At 34.5% G+C, this 27,399-nt stretch overlaps 1 long non-coding RNA gene across 2 annotated transcripts in view; it reads right to left on the bottom strand.

Moving 5' to 3' along the window:
• LINC00871 (long intergenic non-protein coding RNA 871) overlaps positions 1-27,399 on the bottom strand; it is a 437,745-nt gene that overhangs the window by 265,001 nt on the left and 145,345 nt on the right. For both annotated transcript variants that reach the window (NR_102701.1, NR_102702.1), the window contains exons 2-3: positions 25,964-26,079; positions 25,099-25,156 (exon numbers count right to left, since the gene is read on the bottom strand). This is a non-coding gene — a long non-coding RNA (long intergenic non-protein coding RNA 871). The remainder of the gene's footprint in view (positions 1-25,098; positions 25,157-25,963; positions 26,080-27,399) is intronic.

The following is a 27,399-nucleotide window of genomic DNA, read 5'->3' as shown; positions in this document are numbered from 1 at the left end:
CATATGTATCTTTCCCCTTTCCCCTACAATAACTGTAGCTCCAGACAAACTTATCTACTCATGACCTCTCAAACTTTTTCAGATTGTTTTCTTCTCTATTGTCATGCTTTTACACATAACCTTCCAAACCCTAATCCATCATTTAAAGAACTGTTGAGATTCTTAATCCTCAGTAAAAGTTCTCCTGACAACCACAGCCAAGGCTGTATTCAGGAACATTGATTAGAAATTGTTGCCTGTGTCTTGTGATTTGGAAGTCATCAGGGATGCAGTAGAAGGACTCACATCTACACAAACCAACCAACCACCAAGCCCTCATCATAAAGGGTAGAGCTGGCCTGTTACATATTCAGCTATCCCCTTCCAATAACAACATTGATACCCAATTTATCAGGAAGTCTTGCCTGCTCTGACTCCAAAATATATTCCTTCCATCCATGTCTCCACCTTTGCTGCTGCTGCTGCTTATGATTATTTACCGCCATTTCTTGCATGGACAACTGCAAGAAGTCTCCTCACTTCCACTCTGGTGCTCATATATTCCCCATTCCTCACTCCTACGCCCCCAACTCCGCAAATCCATTCTCCACATGTCAGCCATATTATTTAAATAAATATAAATCTCTTAGGTTTAAATATAAACTTCCCAACCTCTAGAGCCATTAAGACTCCAAAGATTTCCCAATATATTTAGAATAAAAAATGAGACCCCATGGATATAAATGTCTACATGAACCGTACCCTGACTATCCTCTAATCTCATTTTCCATCTTTCTCTTCTTGTTTCCTATGTTGTTAGATGAGCTGCTTACTGTTCATAGAATATGACAACTCAGATCCACCTTGAGGAATTTGTACTTCCGTTTTGTTTGCCCTGTAAATTTAAATTTACATCCTCAGATCATCATGTGGCTGGTTCACTTCTGTCTTTCAGATACCAGTTCTGATGTTAGTTTCTCGAAGAATCCCTCCTTATGCAATAAGCGTTAACACAGACACCACAGTCATTCTCTTACAGTCTTTATTTTGGAGCATTTATTACTAATGAAATAATACTACATTGTTTATTCATGTACTACTTTTTTTTTTTCCTATTTACCTTGACTAGAATGCAAGCTCAAAGAGAACCAAAACACTGTTGATGTCTCCAGTATCCAGGATCTTGTTCATTTCTACGTCTCCAATATCTAGAACAGTGCCTGTCAGAAAACCGTGGGCAATCAAAAAATGCCTTTTTTTGAGAAAATAAAGGAAAATAAAATAATAAATAAAAGAATTAAACAAAACTACTCATGTGCAACCACTTTGGACACTCTCAAAGTGATGTTAATATTACAGACATCTATTTGAAACTCAGCTAAATACTTCCTTGTACTAGTTACAATATTATTTTATTTTAAATTCCTTCATTTATTCATCTGGAATTATTAAGTAGGCACTATGTGCCCTAAAGGACACAATAGAAGACTCCACAAATTCATGACAAACATCCTGGAAATGAGATGGAGGAGACTGCAGCTTAGGTTGAGGTGGGGAGAACACCTAGGAAAGGATTACCTGAGGATGTAACATTCAAATGGAGACCTTAAAGGATGATCAAGAAGCAATAAATCAGGAATAAGAGTGAGGGAGGTAGAAGACTATGTTCATTAAATTCTTTATATTCCTAATTACCCAGCAGTGTTCTTCAAACCAGAACTAGAATTTAAACAAAGTAGAAACATCACACAGGCAGTGAACAGTAGCTATTATATTTAGTCTTCTACTTCTTACAGGGCCAGAGTGCCGAGGGGTAATGCAGAGGGAGAGAATAGGAAAATAATATTTATTAATGCCTATTAAGTGCCAATTTAAGCCAAGAGTTTTTACATGAATAATATTATTTTGCTGTCTCAACAGCCCTGTTGCAGAGGCTCCTAAATAATTGAACATCCTAAATCGTACTTATGGCTGAGGTTCTAAGTAGGCCTATTTTGACTCCCCAAAATCCATGTTCTTTTCTAATATGTTCTCTGACTAGGTCAGTGGTTCTCAATCCTGGCTGCATATTAGAATCAGAAAGCTGAGGCCCTCCAGACTAATAACGTCAAAATGTCTGGGCTTGGAACCCGGGATTCAGTGGTAGTTAAAGTTCCTCAGGTGATTTTGACATGCAGCCAAGTTTGGGAATCACTGGTCAAAACAAGGACAGAGCACCAGCCAGTTTAATTGATTTACTTTGGTTATCTCATCCATATTTCTGCTTTTAAGCAGGATAACACTTAAACCACAATAGGCAAAAAAGATGATTCTACTTTTTGGCATGGCCTCTTTAATGCATTAGTCCTGAAAAGTCAACTGTGAAGGTTGAAACAGCATAACTAAATAATTAAGCTACTTTTTTCTCTCAACACACCAGGTTCAGTGTCTGTTTTAATAATTCCTAGCTCCACCAGCATATGCTATCAGATTTAATTCTCTGTGGTCTGGCACTACATATTTTTAGTAACCTTAGCTTTAGAAAGAACAGAAGGAAGTTAACACCATTTACATAACTACAGGAACATGATTTATTTAAGTTTGCAAAAAAAATCACAGGAGAATTCATGAAACTTAAAAATTCATTTTCTTTTAACTGCTACAACAAACATCAGGTGGCACTTAACAAAAATGCTGTTGTATGTATTATTATTAGATAAGTCATCTGCAGCTTAATATAAAAGGAATTAACAATGCTTGTAGCCATTATTTCCAAATGAGACAATATATTCCCCTTACCCTAGGCTATAAAATATTTTTCTATCTCAGAGATAACTTTGTGATCTTTATCTTACACTTGTCATGACGTTTATCACTGCCAGCATTAGACTTTGTAAATAAATGCCTAATTTGAATGTCCTTTTAGATCCTTGAGGTAAAGCAATGAGTCATATCTTAGAAAAGTATTTTGTACAAATCAATAGATATCTTGATCTTTGGTTCATCATATAAGTTCATATGACTAATAACTACTTAGCAAAAGATCACTGAAAATTAAAACCATATGATGTCATTATGTGACCCTCTAACCCAATGATTCCTCTTTCCGCTGTATTATACACATATTCATTAATCACAAACTTGATTCATTATTGGGAATAATAGAATACAGATAGACTAGAGTTTACTTTTTTCTTCAAAAAAATTGTTTTCTTTGGAAGTCACCTTTGCATATCAGATTGTGAAGTGAGCAGTATAGAGAGAGAAACAAGAGAACAAATTTAATTGTAATTTCATTATGCTTATGACATGGTTATTTTATTTTAGGAATAAAATAACACAGTGATGACAAAGAGTTGATTTAATCTCTTCATTAGGGAAGTCCTGATATTTACTGGAAATATCTTATTAGCTACTAGCTTAATTTATATATAGCAAAATGTAACAAAAGTATATTTGTTTTAAAAATCATTACGCTAATGTAGACTTTTTTCCAAATTTTAACTATATTTTATCCTTCATAACTTAATCCGAATCTTTTTTTTTCACTTGGAAATATTTTTATTTATATTTCAATGTAAATAGAGTCCCCTGCTTCAAAATTTCTTTTTTTAATTATTATTATTATACTTTAAGTTTTAAGGTACATGTGCACAATGTGCAGGTTAGTTACATATGTATACATGTGCCATGCTGGTGTGCTGCACCCATTAACTCGTCATGTAGCATTAGGTATATCTCCTAGTGCTATCCCTCCCCACTCTCCCCAACCCCACAACAGTCCCCAGAGTGTGATGTTCCTCTTCCTGTGTCCATGTGTTGTCATTGTTCAATTCCCACCTATGAGTGAGAACATGCGGTGCTTGGTTTTTTGTCCTTGTGATAGTTTCCTGAGAATGATGATTTCCAATTTCATCCATGTCCCTACAAAGGACATGAACTTATCGTTTTTTATGGCTGCATAGTATTCCATGGTGTATATGTGCCACATTTTCTTCATCCAGTCTACCATTATTGGACATTTGGGTTGCTTCCAAGTCTTTGCTATGGTGAATAGTGCCGCAATAAACATACGTGTGCATGTGTCTTTATAGCAGCATGATTTATACTCCTTTGGGTATATGCCCAGTAATGGGATGGCTGGGTCAAATGGTATTTCTAGTTCTAGATCCTTGAGGAATCGCCACACTGACTTCCACAACGGTTGAACTAGTTTACAGTCCCACCAACAATGTAAAAGTGTTCCTATTTCTCCACATCCTCTCCAGCACCTGTTGTTTCCTGACCTTTTTAATGATTGCCATTCTAACTGCTGTGAGATGATATCTCATTGTGGTTTTGATTTGCATTTCTCTGATGGCCAGTGATGGTGAGCATTTTTTCATGTGTTTTTTGGCTGCATGAATGTCTTCTTTTGAGAAGTGTTTGTTCATGTTCTTTGCCCACATTTTGATGGGGTTGTTTGTTTTATTCTTGTAAATTTGTTTGACTTCATTGTAGATTCTGGATATTAGCCCTTTGTCAGATGAGTAGGTTGCAAAAATTTTCTCCCATTTTGTAGGTTGCCTGTTCACTCTGATGGTAGTTTCTTTTGCTGTGCAGAAGCTCTTTAGTTTAATTAGATCCCATTTGTCAATTTTGGCTTTTGTTGCCATTGCTTTTGGTGTTTCAGACATGAAGTCCTTGCCCATGCCTATGTCCTGAATGGTAATGCCTAGGTTTTCGTCTAGGGTTTTTATGGTTTTAGGTCTAACGTTTAAGTCTTTAATCCACCTTGAATTCATTTTTGTATAAGGTGTAAGGAAGGGATCCAGTTTCAGCTTTCTACATATGGCTAGCCAGTTTTCCCAGCACCATTTATTAAATAGGGAATCCTTTCCCCATTGCTTGTTTTTTTTCAGGTTTGTCAAAGATCAGATAGTTGTGGATATGCAGCATTATTTCTGAGGGCTCTGTTCTGTTCCATTGGTCTATATCTCTGTTTTGGTACCAGTGCCATGCTGTTTTGGTTACTGTAGCCTTGTAGTATAGTTTGAAGTCAGGTAGTGTGATGCCTCCAGCTTTGTTCTTTTGGCTTAGGATTGACTTGGCGATGCAGGCTCTTTTTTGGTTCCATATGAACTTTAAAGTAGTTTTTTTCCAATTCTGTGAAGAAAGTCATTGGTAGCTTGATGGGGATGGCTTTGAATCTATAAATTACCTTGGGCATTATGGCCATTTTCACGATATTGATTCTTCCTACCCATGAGCATGGAATGTTCTTCCATTTCTTTGTATCCTCTTATTTCATTGAGCAGTGGTTTGTAGTTCTCCTTGAAGAGGTCCTTCACGTCCCCTGTAAGTTGGATTCCTAGTTATTTCATTCTCTTTGAAGCAATTGTGAATGGGAGTTCACTCATGATTTGGCTCTCTGTTTGTCTGTTATTGGTGTATAAGAATGCTTGTGATTTTTGTACATTGATTTTGTATCCTGAGACTTTGCTGACGTTGCTTACCAGCTTAAGGAGATTTTGGTCTGAGACAATGGGGTTTTCTAGATACAATCATGTCGTCTGCAAACAGGGACAATTTGACTTCCTCTTTTCCTAATTGAATACCATTTATTTTCTTCTCCTGCCTAATTGCCCTGGCCAGAACTTCCAACACTATGTTGAATAGGAGTGGTGAGAGAGGGCATCCCTGTCTTGTGCCAGTTTTCAAAGGGAATGCTTCCAGTTTTGCCCATTCAGTATGATATTGGCTGTGGGTTTGTCATAGATAGCTCTTATTGTTTTGAGATATGTCCCATCAATACCTAATTTATTGACAGTTTTTAGCATGAAGGGTTGTTGAATTTTGTCAAAGGCCTTTTCTGCATCTATTGAGATAATCAAGACAAATCTGAATCTGTTTTTAAAAATATTTATTTTGTAAATTTAGCAGTATAAAACAAATATAATAATATCTTCAAGGTTAATCTCAAATCATATTTTTGACATCATCAAAATTACATTGACTTTAGCCATTTTATATCACACTGTCAGATATTGGCAAAAGAGAATTCTTCTGACTTGTCACTTAATATTTTAAGTTATCTGCGGTTAACCAAGATTTGTCGAAAAAGTGACAGGTCAAATTTTCTCATGATATGTTGAAAATGTGGAGCTGGTACATTTGATCTGTACACTGTGACAATGACTCAAACATGAAGTAGGGAAAAATTGATGCCATCTGTCTCACCCTACAAAGAGAGTCAGCATGTGGTCTAGTTTATTTTATGCTGATGACAAACAGTCTACATTTACTTTCTGTAGTCAATTTCATAATATAATAGGATTAACTGTGCACATTCCCCTGTTATTCAGCAATATTTGCTCATTCACTTCTATAATACCATTGTTCTGTTGGTATTTTCAAGCTTTTTTTTTGTATCTTTTCTTATTACATTCATTGGCATATAGCCAGTAATATTTGTTATATTTGTGTGTGTGCTCCTTACATGACAGTTTTCTCTGAATTATATTACCTACTTTAATATGGGCTTCCTTTTAAAGTAGTTTACTACTTCCAATTTCTTCTGAATTTAGAATATATTCTCAAATAATATGACATAGAATATATTTGAAACAAGAATTTCTTCTTGATTATACTATTCTTTATGTCTGCATTTGTGACATAATAAGAAATATATATTTGGTCTGCCTCTCACCCCATTTCCTGGCACACAGCGTCTAAAATTCTTGAAATGGCCAAATGTAATAAGTGTATTTTTGTATGCTAATGAGATGCCCAGTGGCTCTGAGCTACTGGATAACTTTCAGATGAGAGCTGGTTGCCAGGGGAACCAACCTTGTGATTAGAGGGTAAGAACTTTCATTTTTATTTATTTATTTTTTTTTTGAGACAGAGTTTCACTCTGCTGCTCAGGCTGGAGTGCCACGGCGTGGTCTTGGCTCACTGCAACCTCCACCTCCTAGGTTCAAGTGATTCTCCTGCCTCACCCTCCTGAGTAACTGGGATTATGGATGCCTGCCACCATACCCGGCTAATTTTTGTATTTGTAATAGAAACAGGGTTTCACTATGTTGGCCAGACTGGTCTCGAACTCCTGACCTCAGGTGATCCACTGGCCTTGGCCTCCCAAAGTGCTGGGATTACAGGAGTGAGCCACCTGCCCGGCCAAGGGTAAGAACTTTCAACCCTAATCTCAGACCTTCTCTAGGAGGGGTCTGAAGGTTGAATAGGTTACCAGCAGTCAATGATTTTATCAATCATGCCTACATAAGGAAGCCTCTTTAGAAACTCAAAAGGATAGCGTTTGGAGACCTTCCAGGTTACTGAACACCTGGAGGTGCTGAGACGGTAGTAGGCCTGGAGAGGACAGGGAAGCTCCCTGCCCATTTCCACATACCTTGCCCTATGTACATCTTTATCTAGTTATTGATCTCTACCCTTTTTTTTTTTATAAGAAGCCAGTAATTGTTTTTACCTGATTTCTGTGAGCCATTCTAGCAAATAATCAAACCCAAGAAGATGGTTTGATTTATAGCCAGTTGGTCAGAAGCACAGGTTGCAACTTAGACTTGCGATTGGCATCTGAAGTAGAGAGCATCTTTTGAGACTGAGCTATTAACCTGTAGGATCTGACACTGTCTCTAGGATATTATTATGATTGAGTTAAATTGCTGAACACCCAGTTGGTATCCATTGAGAACTGGAGAATTGCTTAGTATGGGAAAAAACCCACGTATTTGGTGACCAGAAGTGAAGTGGTGGTGTGAGTGTTGAATGAGACTATAGAGAAAAACAGTTTTTCCTCATGCAGACAAAGATGTTTCACCTTCTGCTGTAGAGAATCACAAAACATTGATGCATCTGAGCAGAGAAATAATACAACCAGCTATTTCTGGCAGAAATGCAGAAGGAAAATTGGATTAGAGTAGGGTTCTAATGAAATGATACAGATGAAAGAACTGAACATAAAGCTATGAGATGAAGAGAAGAAGATGGAAATTACAGATATCCAGGAAATAGAATTCGCAAGATTTAATTATCAAGGAAGATGGGGATAGGATTCTTGAGGAAATGAGAGGTCTATCATGTCACGTAAGTTTTTAGCTTGAGCGATTGACTGATATTTGCAAAACTTGAGATAGGAAATGAGGAAGGTGGATTAGGTTAGAGGGAAAGACGATGAGTTTTTCAACAAAGTGAACAAAAGATATTATTTGTATGTCCAGGTGAGCTGCTTCCATGGTTTGGCAACTTAGGAAGCTAATTTAATGAAGGACATGGTTGATGGTGTCAAATGTTTCAAGAAAACCCAGTAAGATGAGACCTCAAAAGACATATACAGATTTCGCAGTTAAGTGGTCATCAGTAACTTTGTTGGAGTCTTTTTGGTGAGGCCAGAAGCCTTACCATGCTAGTTTAAGAAGGAATCAAAGTTGCTAAAATTAATATAGAGGACACTTATATTTTGAGATTGTGCTTTTAAAGGGAAGGAATCTAAAGCATATTTAAAAGCAGGTAGAAAGCTGATAGAGAGTATTTTATTTTTATTTTTAATAGGAGAAACTTGAACATATTTCACTCTAGAAGAAGTAAATCAGGATGGTGGAAATATTAAAGATAAAGTAAAAATGATAAAAATTGGTTTGCTAAGACTCAGCAGATTTTGGAGGAATCAGATTAAACAAAGAAATTGTGGGTAACGTCTTTATCTAAGACTGCAGGAAAGGATGTGAGGATAAATGCAGATAATAGTACTTGGAGGAGTATAAGGAGTTTGTACTAGCCAGTCTTAAAATTCTTAAAGACTTTAGTCAATTATTTTGTCTTGGTTTTATTTTATGAAGCATTTTGTTTATACAATATGGTATCTAATTACATACATTTAAAAAATTAATGTAACTAAAAATATTTGTTTGTACGAATGTGCTGTAATGTGTATTAGTTTTCCACAGTTAGCATTTGAGACAGTTAAATTTCAAGTATATTCTTCAAACTATCTAATTTACATATGACTTTTTTTATACTTTAAGTTCTAGGGTACATGTGCACAATGTGCAGGTTTGTTACATATGTATACATGTGCCATGTTGGTGTGCTGCAACCATTAACTCGTCATGTAGCATTAGGTATAGCTCCTAATGCTATCCCTCCTCCCTCCCCCAACCCCACAACAGGCCCCGGTGTGTGATGTTCCCCTTCCTGTGTCCAAGTGTTCTCATTGTTCAATTCCCACCTATGAGTGAGAACATGCGGTGTTTGGTTTTTTGTCCTTCTGATAGTTTGCTGAGAATGATGGGTTCCAGCTTCATCCACGTCCCTACAAAGGACATGAACTCATCCTTTTTTATGGCTGCATAGTATTCCATGGTGTATATGTGCCACATTTTCTTCATCCAGTCTATCATTGATGGACATTTGGGTTGGTTCCAAGTCTTTGCTATTGTGAATAGTGCTGCTATAAACATACATGTGCATGTGTCTTTATAGCAGCATGATTTATAATCCTTTGGGTATATACTCAGTAATGGGATGGCTGGGTCAAATGGTATTTCCAGTTCTAGATCCCTGAGGAATCGCCACACGGTCTTCCACAATGGTTGAACTAGTTTACAGTCCCATCAACAGTGTAAAAGTGTTCCTATTTCTGCACATCCTCTCCAGCACCTGTTGTTTCCTGACTTTTTAGTGATCGCCATTCTAACTGGCGTGAGATGGTATCTCATTGTGGTTTTGATTTGCATTTCTCTGATGGCCAGTGATGATGAGCATTTCTTCATGTGTCTTTTGGCTGCATAAATGTTGTCTTTTGAGGAGTGTCTGTTCATATCCCTTGCCCACTTTTTGATGGGGTTGTTTGTTTTTTTCTTCTAAATTTGTTTGAGTTCATTGTAGATTCTGGATATTAGCCCTTTGTCAGATGAGTAGATTGCAAAAATTTTCTCACATTCTGTAGGCTGCCTGTTCACTCTTACAGTAGTTTCTTTTGCTATGCAGAAGCTCTTTAGTTTAATTAGATCCCATTTGTCAATTTTGGCTTTTGTTGCCATTGCTTTTGGTGTTTTAGACATGAAGTCCTTGCAAATGCCTATGTCCTGAATGGTATTGCCTAGGTTTTCTTCTAGGGTTTTTATGGCTTTAGGTCTAACATTTAAGTCTTTAATCCATCTTGAATTCATTTTTGTATAAGGTGAAAGGAAGGGATCCAGTTTCAGCTTTCTACATATGGCTAGCCAGTTTTCCCAGCACCATTTATTAAATAGGGAATCCTTTCCCTATTTCTTGTTTTTGTCAGGTTTGTCAAAGATCAGATGGTTGTAGATGTGTGGTATTATTTCTCTGGGCTCTGTTCTGTTCCATTGATCTATATCTCTGTTTTGGTACCAGTATCATGCTGTTTTGGTTACTGTAGCCTTGTAGTATAGTTTGAAGTCAGGTAGTGTGATGCCTCCAGCTTTGTTCTTTTGGCTTAGGATTGTCTTGGCAATGTGGGCTCTTTTTTTGGTTCCATATGAACTTTAAAGTAGTTTTTTCCAATTCTGTGAAGAAAGTCATTGGTAGCTTGATGGGGATGCCATTGAATCTATAAATTACCTTGGGCATTATGGCCATTTTCACGATATTGATTCTTCTTATCCATGAGCATGGAATGTTCTTCCATTTGTTGGTGTCCTCTTTTACTTCATTGAGTAGTGGTTTGTAGTTCTCCTTGAAGAGGTCCTTCACATCCCTTGTTAGTTGGATTTCTGGGTATTTTATTCTCTTTGAAGCAATTGTGAATGGGAGTTCACTCATGATTTGGCTCTCTGTTTGTCTGTTATTGGTGTATAAGAATGTTTGTGATTTTTGCATATTGATTTTGTATCCTGAGACTTTGCTGAAGTTGCTTATAAGCTTAAGGAGATTTTGTGCTGAGATGATAGGGTTTTCTAAATATACAGTCATGTACATGTGACATTTAATAACCTTAACATGGTCACTGGCTCAAGAAAAGATGCAAATCTTATTGGGTTAAAGGTCAATTATACATTTATTTATTTGTTTTTTAACATTAGTCTTTTTTGGAGTGACAAATTGTAAAATAAATGTTGGTGTATACATGAAGATAGTTCCTTTGCAGACTCATGACTCTGTGTGTGTGTGTGTGTGTGTATGTATATATATACAGTCATGAGTCACTTAGTGACAGGGATTCGATCTGCAAAATGCATTGTTAGCTGGTTTCACCATTTTATGAATATCATAGATTGTACTTACACAAACCTAGATGGTATAGGCTACCAAAAACCCAGGATATGTGGTATAGCATATTGTTTGTAGGCTACAAACCTATATAGCATATTACTGTACTAAATACTATAGGCAATTATAGGAATAGGTGTATCTAAGCATATCTAAACATAGAAAAGGTACAGTAAAAATATGTTATAAAATATTAAAAATGGTATACTTTTATAGGGCGTTTACCATGAATGGAGCTTGCAAGACTAGACGTTGCTCTGGCTGAGTCAGTGAGTGAGAGAGATAAGTGAATGTAAAGGTGTGGGACATTACTGTACACCACACCGACTTTATAAACGCTATACACTTCGGCAATACTAAATTTATACAAATGTTTTTTGCTGTAAAATATTAGCCTTAGCTTACTGTAACTTTTTTACTTTATAAACTTTTAAAATTTTTCTCAGCTTTTTGACTCCTTTGTAATAACATTTTAAAACCCAAACACATGTACAGCAGTATAAAATATTTTTTCTTTATATTTTCATTCTATAAGCTTTTATCCATTTATTTACTTACTTATTTATTTACATTTTCAATGACTGGCAGTGGAGTAGGTTTGTTTCCACCTGCATTGCCACAAACAGGTGAGTAATGTTTTGTACTATGATGTTATGACAGCTACAATGTCATAACATCATGATTTTCTAACTCCATTATAGTCTTTTGGGATCACCTTCCTGTATGCAGTCCATTGTTGACTAAAACGTGGTTATGCAGTGCATGACTGTGTGTGTATGTGTATATATACATATTATATAATATGCATTATTACAATGTATTATTATATAATAAATTATATACTACATAATATTACTAATGATAACTATTAATATTATTACTAATAATATATTATCAATAATATATTACATAATATATAACATATTATATACTATATAATAATATAGTACATATATTATTATATGATATAATAAAATTATATATATATAATTTTGGGAAGAATTAAATGACAGAACTCAAAACAGAACCATCATAAAACTCTCCACAGATTTAGCATATAAAAGAGATTAGGAATGTGAGAGAATTCTTTGGACATTTTGTCCTTCTAAGAAAAAGCAAACTACTATCATCTTGCCTCCTCCCACCCCTCTCTATGTTTGAGTCAGCCAGGGCCAACTTATCCAGCAGGCACAAAAGGCACAATATGTAGAACCCACAATATTTTTAGAGGCCTATAAAAATGTTTTAATATCTTTAAAAATCAAGAGAAGAAACTAAACTTTCAGATAAAAGAAAATGTTTTAATACATAATATCAATTAATTTGTCTTTATACCAATGCAATTGTAAAATAAAATATAATTTCTAACATTTCCTTTTTTTTTTTGAGACGGAGTCTGGCTCTGTCCACCAGGCTGGAGTGCAGTGGCGCGATCTTGGCTCACTGCAAGCTCCGTCTCCCAGGTTCACGCCATTCTCCTGCCTCAGCCTCCCGAGTAGCTGGGACTACAGGCGCCCGCCACCACGCCCGGCTAATTTTTTTTGTATTTTCAGTAGAGACGGGGTTTCACCATGTTGGCCAGGATGGTCTCGATCTCCTGACCTCGTGATCCGCCTGCCTCGGCCTCCCAAAGTGCTGGGATTACAGGCTTGAGCCACTGCACCCGGCCTAATTTCTAACATTTCCTTATGGAAGGAGGTGCCCATGAAGCCAAAGTGGTTATACTTCATGAAAGTCATAATGTGGCCCTTAAGTCATGGGAGAGCAGTGTTTTAGTTTAGGTTCTTCTGAAAAAGAAGTTATATGGTAATCTTATGAGGTCATATAGACTATACCTCTCAGAAGGCACTTGAAGAACAGGTGACTACATGAAGATTATAATTTCCACCTGAGCAGATTTCTTTGGTTGGCTGTGTCATTTCTTCTTGGCCCACCTATGAATTTAGCTGTAACAATGATGGATAGTTTTGTGCCACATCATACAGATACTAACAAATATTTCATCTCAGGCACGTACTGTATTTCACACTTTTTCTCTTTCTGACGCAGCATTCTCAAGCACAGTACCTGCTTAGCACAAGTATACTCATTGTTTAAAGGTACAGAAAGTTAGTTATAGTTGTTGAATAAATGTGCATTTTGCTGTCGTCGTTTAGAGTGCTCTATAAATATCAATTAGATAAGGTTAGTAATAGTACCATTCAAATCTATGTATGTACTGGCATGCAATTTACTTGATTTGTCAATTATTAGAATAGGAGTGTTAAAATCTTCAACCAGCCAAAAATTCTTTGCAAAGAATAATGTCAAGAAGAGTATTTCCTAGGTTGTCCCCCAGGATTTTTATAGTTTGAGATCTCACATTTAAATCTTTAATCCATTTTGAGTTAGTCTTTATGTATAGTGAAATGTAGGGGTCAGTCCAGCTTGTCTTCTGCTTTTGGCTAGCCAGTTATCCCAGCACAACTTACTGAGTAGGAAGTCCTTTCCCCATTTCTCTTTTTTCGTCAGCCCTGTTGAATATTACATGCTTGTAGGTGTGCAGCTTTATTTCCGAGTTTTCTATCCTGTTCTATTGGTCTATGTATCTGTTTTGTACTAGTACCAAGCTGTTGTGGTAGCTGTGGCTTTATAGTATAGTTTGCATTTAGGTAGTGTGATGCTTCTGACTTTGCTCCTTTTGTTTAGGATTGTTTTGGCTGTTCCTGCTCTTTTGGGGTTCCATATAAATTTTAGAATAGGCCTTTTTCTAATACTGTGAAGAATGATGTCAGTAGTTTGATGGGAATAGCACTGAATTTGTAAATTGCTTTGAATAGTATGGCCATTTTTATGATACTGGTTCTTTCATTCCATGAGCATGGAATGTTTTTCCATTTATTTGTGTCATATCTGATTCTTTCAGCAGTGTTTGTAGTTCTCCTTGTAGAGGTCTTTCACCTCCTTGGTTAGCTGTATTCCTAGATATTTAAAATTTTTTTGTGGTTATTGTAAGTGGGATTGTGTTCTTGATTTCACGCTCAATCTGGATGTTGTTGTTGTATAGAAATGCTACTGATTTTTGCACATTGACTTCTGTATCCTGATACTTTACTGAAGTTATCAATTCTAGCAGCCTTTTGACAGTCTTTAGGATTTTCTAAGCATAGAATCATATTAGGAGTGAAGAGACACAGTTTGACCTCTTTTCTTATTTAGCTCCCTTTTCTTTCTATTTCTTACCTGACTGCTCTGGCTAGGATTTCCAGTACTATGTTGAATAGGAGTGGTTACAGTGAGCATCCTTGTTCCAGTTCTCAAGGGGAATGAATCGTTCAAACTTTTGGTTATTCGGTATGATGTCAGATGTGGGTTTGTCATTGACGGCTGTTATTATTTTGAGGTATATTCCTTCAATGCCTAATTTGTGGGGGGTTTTATCACGAAGATCGTGTTGGATCTTATTGAAAGCTTTCTCTGTATCTGTTGAAGTGATCATATGGTTTTTGCTTTTGATTCTGTTTATGTGGTGAATCATATTTATTGATTTCTGCATGTTGAACCAACCTTGCATCCCAGGATTAAAGCCTACTTGATCGTGGTGTATATATGTTTTTTATGTACTGCTGGATTCAATTTGCTAGTATTTTGCTGAAGATTTGTGCATCTATATTCATGAGGGGTATTTATCTGGTTTTCTTTTCTCATTGTGTCTCTGCCAGATTTGGTATCAGGGTGATGCTGGCTTCATAGAATGAGTTATAGAGGAACCCTTCCTCCCCTGTTTTTTGCAATACTTTTAGTAGAATTGGTAACAGTTATTTGTATGTCTGGTAGAATTCAGCTGTGCATCCATCTGCTTTAGGGATTTTTTTGGTTGGCAGTTTCTTTATTACAGATTCAATTTCAGAAATTGATATTGATGTATTCAGGGTTTCAATCTCTTCCTCATTCAATCTTTGGATATTGCATGGTTATAGGAATTTATTCATTTCATCTACATTTGCTAATTTCTGTGCATAGAGTTGTTCATCACAGTCTCAGGATCTTTTGTATTTTTGTGGGTTCAGTTATAATATTACCTTTGTCATTTCTGATATTGCTTATTTGGACATTCTCTTTCTTTTCCTTGTTAATCTAGCTAGGAGTCTATCAATCTTATTTATTTTTTCAAATAAGAAACTCTTGGTTTCATTGATCTTTTTATGTATTTTTACATCTCCATGTATTGTAAGTCCCAAAAAACAATTGCAACAAACCCAAAAATAGACAAGTGGGACATAATTAAAGAACTTTTGCAAAGCAAAAGAAACTATCAAGAGAGCAAACAGACAATCTACAGAATGGGAGAATATATTCACAAACTGTCCATCTGACAAACACCTAATATCTAGAATCTATAGAGAACTTAAACAAATCAACAGACAAAACCAAAATAACCTCATTTAAAAATGGGCAAAGGACAATAACAGACCCTTCTCAGAAGAAAACATACAAGTGGTCAACAAACATATTAAAAATGCTCAGCATCACCAATAATCACAGAAATGCAAATCAAAACCATGATGGTACCATCTCACACCAGTCAGAATGGCTATTATTAAATTCAAAACAACAACAGAGGCTGGCAAGGCTGTAGAGAAAGGAAATGTTGGTATAAACAGTATAAACTATTGGTGGAAATGTAAATTAGTCCAGCCACTGTGAAGAGTTGTCTGGAGATTTCTGAAGGAATTTAAATCAGAGCTACCATTTGACCCAACAATCCCATTACTAGGTGTATACCCAAAGGAAAATAAAGCATTCTACCAAAAAGATATATGCACTTGTCTGTTCATTGCTGTACTATTCACAACAGCAAAGATATGGAAACAACCCAGGTGCCCATCAGCTGTAGACTAGATAACGAAAATGTGGTGCATATATACCATGAAATACCACACAGTCACAAAAAAGAATAAAATCACATCCTTTGCAGCAACATCGATGGAGCTGGAGGCCATAATATTAAACAAATTAATGCAGGAACAGAGAAGCAAATATTATACGTTCTCACTTATAAGTGGGAGCTAGTGTTGAGCATACAGGGACATAAATATGGAAACAATAGTCACTGGATACTGGGCAGGGGAAGGGTGGGTTAGAAAACTACCTATTGAGTACTATGCTGACCACCAGGGTGATGGCATTCGTACACTGTATAACACCAGCATCAGCCAAAAATTTTTTGTAACAAATCTGCTCATATATACCCTTGAGTAAAATAAAAGTTGAAATTTTAAAAATAAAATGAAATAAAACATTCAACTATAATTTTGGATATTTCATGTTCATTTTCCAGTTCTATCAGATTTTGTGCATGTATTTTACATTCTGAAGCCCTCTTTGGTATTTATATAATCACACCCACTTGTTGTAGTGTGTATTATATATCCTTTACATCCTTTTGCTTTTAACTTTTCTGTATCTTTATATTTAAAATAAGTTTCTTATAGATATCATAGAGTTGAGTGTTTTTAGCCTATCTTAGATTCTCTTTAACTGGAATTTTTACATATTTTGTATTTAATGCAGTTATTAATATAGTGGGGTTTAAATCTACCATCTTGCTTATTATTTTCTACTCGATCCATCTGTTCTTGTTTTATATTTTCTTTTTCTGTCTTCTTCCAGATTAATCAATTATTTTTTAAAGTTTAATTTAATCATTTCTATTGATTATTATATTTTGTTGTGTTTACATTCCTTGTTTTTCTAAGGCAATTGTTTTCAGTTGGTGATTTTGCTCTCAGAGGACATTTGACAATGCCTAAAGACACTTTTGCCTCTCACTACTGGAGGGGATGCTACTGGCAGCTAGTTGGTGGAGGTCAGGGATACTGCTAAACATATTGCAACATATAAGCCCTCTACAACAAAGAATTATCTAACCCAAGATATTAATAATGCCAAAGTTTAAAACACTGCTATAATTTATACAAAACACAGAATTAAGTTATCACAGTCTACTTTCATACAATATTACACTACCTTACATGCCGTTAAAGAACCTCATGCTTCCATTTCATAGTCCCACCAGTTATAATATTATTATCATATATTCTAATTATGTGATTGTTATAAACACTATAATATATTGCCATTGTTATTGTTTTTGTTTTAAACCATCCATTAACTTTTTTTTATGTGTGATAAGAACACAACATAAATTTACTCTCTTAGCAAACTTTTAAGTCTACAACACAGCATTGTTAACTATCGGCACTATAATGTATAGCAAATTTCTGGGATTTATTCATCTTGCATAACTAAAACGTTGTTCCCTTTGACTAATACCTCCCTGTTTGCACCTTCCCCAGCTCCTGGAAATCACCACTCTATTCTGCTTTTTTATGAGTTTGACTATCTCAGATTCCTCATCTAAGTGGTATCACGTAATATTTGTCTTTCTGTGACTGGCTTATTTCACTAAGCATAACGCCCACCAAGTTCATCCATGTTGTTGCAAATAGCAGAGTTTTCTTCTTTTTAAAGGCTGAACAATATTCCGTTGTATGTATATATCATATTTTTATTTACCCATTTATTGATCAATGAAGATTTATGTTGCTTCCACATTTTGACTATTGTGAATAACGTTGCAGTGGAGGTGGAAGTGCAGATATATTTTTGAGACCCTGATTTCAACTTCTTTAAGCCCAGAATTGGGATTGCTGCAACATATTATAGTGTCCATTAACTTTTTAAAAGTTATTTTGTCTTTGCCTCTAGAATACACATTGTAAGTCGTGCACGGTGGCTAAAGTACACATTATTTAAAATACATAGTCACAAAGATGAATTTTTAATAGCCCCAAAGATATATTTAAAAAATTGAAGCCTAGCCAGCACACTGACTTCTGCTGTTTTCACTGTGGTTACTATTCAGCAAACCATCATATTGGTGATCTGCACCAATCATTAATATAGCCAAATAAATGGATCAGATATGCTGTAATCCATGTATTTCATCTTTTAAATATAACCTGACTTTTCCTACAATTCTCTCTACAAATAAGAATTTTCTAGTTTATGCATCTTTTAAGCTGTGACATTTTCTTTGGAACATATAATGTCCCCTTAAGTTAAATATTGAGGCAGTTTAATATTTTTTACCTTATGTGTCTGGTTTTAAAAGATTTATATGTTGTAAGTTAAAAATTAAATTATATTTTTATTATTGAGGATGGGCATTTTTATTGCTTCAGAGTTTTTATGTAAATTCTCTTGCTAATTTTAGTTTACTACTAAACACATTTCTTTAACTGAGTTTATATTTGCAAGTATGAGGAAGGTCAACATTTAGAAGAGAAAAAACTGGCAACTCTATTGGAATAAGTGAAAATATAGTCTTTGAATTAAGCATTTTTGAAGATGTTTTCTTTTCTAAAGAGTAAATGTTCAAAATAGTAAGAGAACACTATTAGAACTTAATAGCCTAATCCATCAAAAAATAAAAAAAAGGCCATTTAATTTCCCTTTAACACAGGAACTAAATCTTTTTGAAACCTTGTGTATGTCAGGCTGTCTTTGCATTATAATTCCAGCAAGGTGATCTTGCTAAGAATTTGTTGCAAATAGCTTTGGTCCTTAATGTCACAACCTCCCTCCTGCGTGACTGAGATAGTAAGCACTTAAAAAATCAAGGCCGGGAATGATTATCCTTTGTGTATTCTTTCATTACTTCATTAAAAAAAAATAGTTTTCTCTATTTCAATTTCCTGTGCCTTTATATGGTTTTTGTCTTTCTTATAGTCTCTGACCTAAAAAGCAGGAAGTAAAAATGTTCAAACGATCTGGAATAAGTACAAGTTCAGAACAAAAATAATTTTTGCCCTTTAACTGACTATGAACCACATAGTTTGAATTTTAGAATTTGAATTTAATGCTCTTCCGACTCCATATATTTATTCACTAAAAATATTAAATTACTCATATTCAAGTGGACTTGTATTTTTTTTTGCTGTCCATTTATAGTTATTTGAACAAAATCACATTTCCATTTTTTCTTACTTCTCAATCATTTTCTCTTGGTACAATATTATAATTCCTTGTAGGTACCTGATGTTGTGTTATATCCATATTATCCACTTTTAATGTAATTTCAATGAACAAGTCACCTACATCAATACTTAGAGATATGGATAATGAAGATTCTTATAGAAACGATAGGGTTTATTTTCACACTTGCCACATTAATTAGAGCCATTATCAAAGATAAAACAATCAAGTATTAAACACTAGACAAATTCTTCTACAGTTTTGTACAAAACAAAATAAATTAATTAACTATAGGGGAATTCTATAACATCTTCCCATAGAAGTCCTACCTGCCATTAAAGTATAACCTATGCCCAGATATGACAGTTCTGGTCCAGAAAATGGCTGTTTCCAAAGTTATACTGAAGATCAAACATGGTTTCATAAGAGTTAGAATTATTTTGTTTATAAGTAACAGAAAACTAAATTAAACTGTTTTAATTAAACCAGTTAATTGGTTCAGAAAACTGAACAAGTATATCCATTTGTTAAATGCAGAATAGCTTGCCCAGAGGGTCATCAGGTTAGGAAAGGTGGGCTGCTGGAAAACTAAATTTTCCCTAATGAATGAACATTTCTGACTCCAGACTTCCCAGTTTTTCTAAGCAAGGCACAGAATACTTTATTACTGGCATTGTATTTACATATTTTCTTTTTCTTAGAAGGTGAAAATATATTGTGTTTTATGGCCTTTAAATGAGAAGATTCCAGTAATTTCCCTCTTATTGCTGCCAACATATAATTTTTAAAAGTTAAAAATATAATTATATTTTATGTGAATAGATGTAAAGCATCCATGTCTTAGATTTACTTAACTAGTTGATGACGGAGTAATCAGGGAGGTACAGCTAATTCAAAAAAATTAAGAGGCCAAGTATTCATAGCCTACAAAAGAAACAATGTAGAGAAAGATCAAAGATAGCTAAAGAGTCTAGATTTGGGGGTGCGTTACATATATAGAGAAAGCGAGTACAGGTCTATTCTAAGAGCTCACCAGGAAAATATACAAAAGAATCTTACAAGACTGAAGGTAAAGGTTTTAGCAGGAAACATTTATTTATCCATCTGAATATATTTTATCTTAATGCTCCAGTTCTACTTCATAAAGTGCTGTGTTGGAAAATGGCAGAGAATGAGAAAACCAGAGGAATCTATTTTATAAAATCTCTATAAAATCAATTTTATTTAAGGTATGCATCAATACTCACATAACATGGAAAATGCTATTTAAACAATAGAAAACTCCTAAATAAAAATTTTAAGAACCTTACATTTATTTTCATGTATACTCTGAAATCTAGGGGCTGTAATGGTTAATTTTATGTGTCAACTTGACTGGGCTATAGGATGCCTGGGTGTGTCTGTGAGGGTGTTTCTGAAAGAGACTGGCATTTGAGTTGGTAGACTGAGTGGAGATCTGCCCTCACCAATACAGGCGGGCCTCATCCAATCCAATGAAAGCCTAAATAGAAGAAAAAATGGAGGCAGGGGAAATTTGCTCTGTCTGCTTGAGCTGGGACCTCTGATTTTTACCTTCCCTCAGGCTTCAGTATTCCTGGTTCTCAGGTCTTGAAACTGGACTGGGACTTATAACACTGATTGTCCTGGGTTTCAGGCCTCTGGTTTGGACTAGAACTACATTGCTAGCTTTCCCGGATCTCTGGCTCCCAGATGGCAGCTCATGGGATTTATCAGCCTCCATAATCACATAAGCCAACCCATCAAAATAAATCTCTTTCTATATAACTACATGTTAATATATCCTGCTGGTTCTGTTTCTCTTGAGAACTATGACTAATACAGGGGCCACAATTATGACAGGATTTATTCTTATATTAAACAAATTATTTGTCTTTTTAAATTTAGATTTAATTTAAATATTGTAAAATATACAGCTCTTAAGTATACAGTGGCATGAGTTTTGACAAACGTCTACACTCATGCAACCAATACTACACTTGAGACATAGGACATTTCTACTAACCTAGAAATTTCTCATTCCCTTTTGCAGTCAAACTCTGACCTTAAAGAAAACCACTAATCTTATTTGTATCACCAGAGAGTAATTTTACCTATTTTAAAATTTTATCTAGATTGAATCACTTTTCATTTAACATGTTTTTTAAAATTCACCCATTTTGTCACGTGTCAATAGTTCATTTTATATTGCTATATATTCCATTGAATGCATATCCCAAAATGTATCTACTTCCCTATTGATAGATATTTGGGCTATTTCCATTATTGAGCTATCATTAGTAAAGTTGGTATAAATAGTCATATGTAAATTTTCTGTGTCAAATTTTTCATTATTCTTGATTAAATACCAATATACAGAATAATTGGATCATGGGGTAGTTTTATAAGAAATTACCAAATCATTTTGCAAAATAGTTTTACTATTTCACACTCCCACTAGCAATATATGAGAGTTATATTTGCTCCATGTTTATCAAAATGTTGTACTCAGTATTTTTTATTTTGGTCAACAAATACGTGTTCAGCAATATTTCATTGTGCTTTTAATTTGTATTTCCCTATTATGAACTTATTTATATGATTATTAGGTATTTTTTAAAATTTTACCTAACTATACAATGTTTTGTGTATACAACACAAAAACGTATAGTAGATAGCACAAGACATAAAAAGCAAGGAATCAAAGTGTATTACTAGGGAAAATAAATTGATCGCAAAGAAAAACATCAACAGAAAAAGAAACAAACTACAAAAAATAATTAACAAAATAGCAGTAATAAAAAATCAAAAATTACCTTGAAAGCATATGTACTAAGTTATCCAATCAATACACATACAGTAGCTGAATATATATATATATACACACACACATATATACATATACATATATGTATATACCAATATAGGCTGTTTATAACAAATTCATGTCACCTATCAGACACACACAAGATGAAAGTGATGGGATGAAAGAAGATATTTCATGCAAATGGAAACCAAAAGAGAGCAGAAGTACCTACACTTACATCAGCTAAAATAGGCTTTAAGTCAGAAACTGTAAAATGAGACAAAGAAAGACATTAAATAATGATAATTGTCAATTTATCAAAAGGATATAACAATAACATACATACACTCAATATGGGAGTATCTAAATATATAAAGTAAATACTTTTATACCCCAAGAGAGAGATAGACTAATTCAGTCATTCTAGGGAACTTCAATACTCTAGTTTCTTGAGACTTAAACTTCACTTTAGACCAAATAGGCCTAACAGACATATACAGAACACTCCATCCAACAGCAACAGAATACACATTCTTCTCAAGTGTGCATTCTTCAGGAAAGATTATATGTTAGGCTATAAAACTAGTCTTAGCAAACTTAAACAGATTTAAATCATACAAAGTAACTTTTCTGAGCACAATGGTATTAAACTAGAAATCAATAAGATGAAGAACTTGGGAAAATTAAAAAATACATGAAAATTAACATGTTTCTGAAAAAAACAGTGGGTCAAAGAAGTTAAAAGAGAAATTTTAAAATATATTGAGACAAACATAAATGGAAAAACAACATACGAAAACTTATGTGATGCAGCAAAAGCAGTTCTAAAAGAGTTTATAGAAATGAACACCTACATTAAAAAATAAGATCTCAAACAATATAATGTTATATCTCAAAGAACTAGAAAAAAATCAACTAAGCACAAAGTTAATAGAAGAAAAAAATAAAACAGATAAGAGTTGAAATAAATGAAATAGAGACTAGAAAAACAATTAAAAGATCAACAAAACCAAACTGACTTTATGAAGAGATTAAACAAAATTGACAAGTCTTTGGCTAAACTAAAAAGAGAGAAGAGAAATAAATAAAATCGAAAATGAAAGAGGAGGCATTACAACTGATGTCACAGCAAGACAATGAATTATAAAACACTACTTTGAATAATTATACACTAACAAATTGTATAACCTAGAAGAAATGGATGAATTCCTAGACACATAAAACCTACCAACACTGAGTAATGAAGAAATAGAAAAAATCTGAACAGACTAATAATGAATAAAAAGATTGAATCACTAATAAAAAGTCTATCAAAGGAAAGCCCAAGACTGATGGCTTCACTACAGAATACCACAAAACATTTAAAGAAGATCTAATATCATTCCTTCTCAAACTCTTCCAACATATTAAGGAATAAATACTTGCTAACTCATTTTATGATACCGAAATTATCCTGGGGCCAACACCAGAAAAGGACACTACAAGAAAAGAAGATTACAGGGCTAGGCATAGAGGCTCATGCCTGTAATCTTAGCACTTTGGGAGGCCAAGGCAGGAGAATTGAAGTTTGAGACCAGCCTAGGCAACATAGAAATACCCTAGCTCTATAAAAAATTTAAAAACATTAGCCAGACATAGTGGCGCATGCCTGTAGTCCCTGTTACTTGGGAGGTTGAGGTGGAGAGATCGCTTGAGCCCAGGAGTTCAAGGTTGCAGTGAGCCATGATCACTCCACTGAACTCCAGCCTGGGCAACAGAGTGAGACCATGTCAAAAGAAAGAAGGAAAGAAGGAAGAAAGAAAGAAGGAAAGAAGGAAAGCAGGAAGGAAGGAAGGAAGGGAAGGAAGGAAAGGAAGGAAGGAAGGAAAGGAAGGAAGGAAGGAGGGAAGGAAAGGAAGGAAAATTGTAGACCTATATTCCTGATGAATATAGTGAATATAGATGCAAAATGTCTTAATAAAATACCAGCAAACTGAATTCAATAATACGTTAAAAGGATCATAAAGGATCATTCACCATAATCAAGTGGATTTATTCTTTGGACACACGATGGCTCAACATTTAAAAATCTATACATTAGATACTTCACATAAATAGAATAAGGACAAAAATCATATGATCAACTAAATTGATGCAGAAAATGCATCTGGTAAAACTCAGCATTCTGTTATGATAAAAAATCTCAACAAATTATGAATAAAAGTAATGAATTGCAACACAGTAAAGGCCATATATGACAGGTCCACAACTAACATCATACTCAATGAAGAAAAGTTAAAATCTTTTTCTCTAAGATCCCTTCTATTCAACATAGTACTAAAAGTCTTAGCCAGAGCAATTAGGCAAAACAAAGAAATAAAAGTCATTCAAGCTTGAAAAAAAGAAGTTAAACTGTCTCTGTTTTTTATATAGAAAACTCTAAACACCCCACTTAAAAACTGTTAGAAGTAATAAACAAATTCAGTTATCTTGCAAGATATAAAATCAACATACAAAATCAATAGTGTTACTATAACAACAAGTTGTTCAAAGAAAAACATTCACAATAGCTACAAAAAATAAAATACTTCAGAATAAATTTAACAAAGGACAAATACCTATACTAAAACTAAAAAACACTGATGAAATAAATTGAAGACACAAATAAATGAAAAGATATTCTATGTTCATGGATTAGAATTCATATTGTTAAAATGTTCATACCACTCAAAGCAATCTACAGATCCAACACAATCTTTATCAAAATTATACTAACATCTTTCACAAAAATATTTTTAAAAATCTTAAAATTAATATGGAATCATAAAAAACCTAGGGTAAGCAAAGCAGTCTTAAGCAAAAAGAAGAAAACTAGAGGCGTCACATTCCAAGACTTCAATATATACCACAAAACCATAGCAATCAAAACAGCATGGTACTCACATAAGAAAAAAAAGGAAATAGACACATAAACCAGTGAAACAATAGAGAGCTCAGAAATAAATTTATGCATTTATAGTCAATTAATTGTGTATTAGTCCCTTCTCACACTGCTATAAAGACATACTGAGTAATTTATTAAAAAAAAAGAGGTTTAATCAACTCACACTTCTGCCGAGTATACAGGCTTCTGCTTCTGGGGAGGCCTCAGGAAACTTACAGTCACTGCAGAAGACAAAGGGGAAGCAAGCACATCTTAACATGGCTGGCAGGACAGAGAGAGAGAGAAGGCGGAGGTGCTACATACTTTCAAACAACTAGATCTCATAAGAACTCTGTTATAAGAACAGCAAGGGGGAAGTCCACCCCCATGATTTAATCACCTCCCACCAGGCCCCTCCTTCAACACAGGAATTACAATTTGACGTGAGATTTGGGTGGGGACACAGAACCAAACCATATTAAGTGGCTACTATATACTGGGTGTGTGGTGGTGAAGGTGTTGGAAAGATTTTGATCAATGGATACAAAATTTCCATTAGATAGGAGGAATAAGTTCAACAGACCTATTATAAAACATGGTGACTTACAGTTAACAGCAATGTATTTTATTCTTAAAAATTGCTAAGAAAGTAGTTTTAAGTGTTCTCATCAGAAAAAAATAAGCCTGCATATGTTAATTAGCCCAACTTAGCCATTCCACAATATATGCATATTTAAAAACACGTTGTACATGATAAATATATACTTTCTTTGTTTGATAATTAAAAATAAATAAGTGAAACAAGAAAAATTTTCTTTTAGCAGGGTCTGTTCATATATTGTATCTTTTTAAAGGATTGTTTATAATATTTTTATTGAATTGTAGGGTACCATTTTCTGAATGTTTGTATCTCTCCCAAATTTATATGTTTAAATCTTATCTGCCATGGTGATAGTATTAGGTAGTGGGGTTTTTTTAGGTCATGAGGGCAGAACCCTCAAGAATGAAATTAGTACCCTTATAAAACAGGCCCAAGGAAGACCTCTTACCTTTTTCACCATGTGAGGACATGGATAGAAGGTGTTATCTATACACTAGAAAGCCGTCCTTTACTAGACACCAAAATCTGCCAGCACTCTGATCTTTTACTTCCCAACGTCAAGACCTGTGGGAAACAAATGTGTTTTTATAAGTTTCCTAGTTCATGGTATTTGTATTATAGCAGCCCAAACAGACTAAGACATAGAGTTTTTTTTAATATTCTGGATGTAAGCCTCCTGTTAGATATGTTTACAAATATTTCCACCCTTTCTGTGATTTATTTATTGATTTTATTAATTACATATTTTGCTGAAGTGTTAGGCCATAGGATATCCTTATGATAAATTTAGAAATAGGGAATGTTAAAAGCATGAATACGTCTGCACATTCAAAACCCAATGAAGTGAAAAAAAATAGCTTAGTTATGGTAGTCTGAAAATGAAAGAATGAGGGGCAGCTTTGGAAGAAAGTATTTAAAGTATTTGAGAATGAAATGCAGGTGGATGTAAGAAAGGAAGACCACAAATGAGAGGTACCACAACTTGAGTTTCAATGTGAGGAGGGGATGGTAATATTTGGAGCAGACACAAGATAGCCAGAAGATAATCCTGTAAGTGAGGAAAATTTTACTGTGCAATAAGAAGAATAGAGGGAAAACACCTGGTGAAGAATTTTCTCCAGATGGAAAGTGAGAACCTTAAGGCCAGCAAAGATAACTCTCTCTAGCTCCCTGCTTCATTTTCTACTGCCTGTACTAAAAGGAATGGATGAAGTTCTATCTCAAAATAATTGGAAGTAGCAAGTCATTAAAAGTCTAAAGCAGTCAGATATATTTGCAGTTTAATTCAGTAGTGTCATGCAAGTAGAGACCAAAAGAGGTGGCTTTACACTCCAATGAAACATGGGTGATAAAAGTTAAAACTCAGATACAGATTAAAAATACCAATTCCATGTGTATTCTTTTAGCACCTTTAAGTATTCATCACTGTACTAAGCATCGTGGGCTTACACAAAAGAAATATAAGAGCTAAAAAATTTATACAAAAACTAACAATTTAATTACAGAGAAAAGACCTAATATATGAAATAATAAAACAGTAATGTGAGACCAGCTACAGTTAAGGGGCAAAACCACATTCAAGTACAATAACTGTTTCCAAAGAAGGGAATTACTGGCTGACTTGGGCAAGCTATCATAAGCTTTTGGAAAGACAGGTGATTGGTATGCCTGTGGTTGGCCTGACTTTGGATGGGAGGAAGGAAGGCAAAAGGAGAAAGACTTTAGGGCAAAGTATTCTCTTGGGATCTGCTCCTCATCAATAAAAGTGCTATTTTAAAACTCACTTTTCTGAGGCAACTGTTGAGTTAAACATAAACATGAGGTAATGTTTCGCCCACAAGAACATTCTCAAGCAATTTCTTCTTATCCAAGACTAATCCTTTT

This window comes from Homo sapiens, chromosome 14 (genome assembly GCF_000001405.40).
Source record: "Homo sapiens chromosome 14, GRCh38.p14 Primary Assembly".
Lineage (NCBI taxonomy): Eukaryota > Metazoa > Chordata > Mammalia > Primates > Hominidae > Homo > Homo sapiens.
The sequence above is the reverse complement of the archived record's forward strand: the minus strand, read 5'-3'. Positions and strand labels throughout refer to the sequence as shown.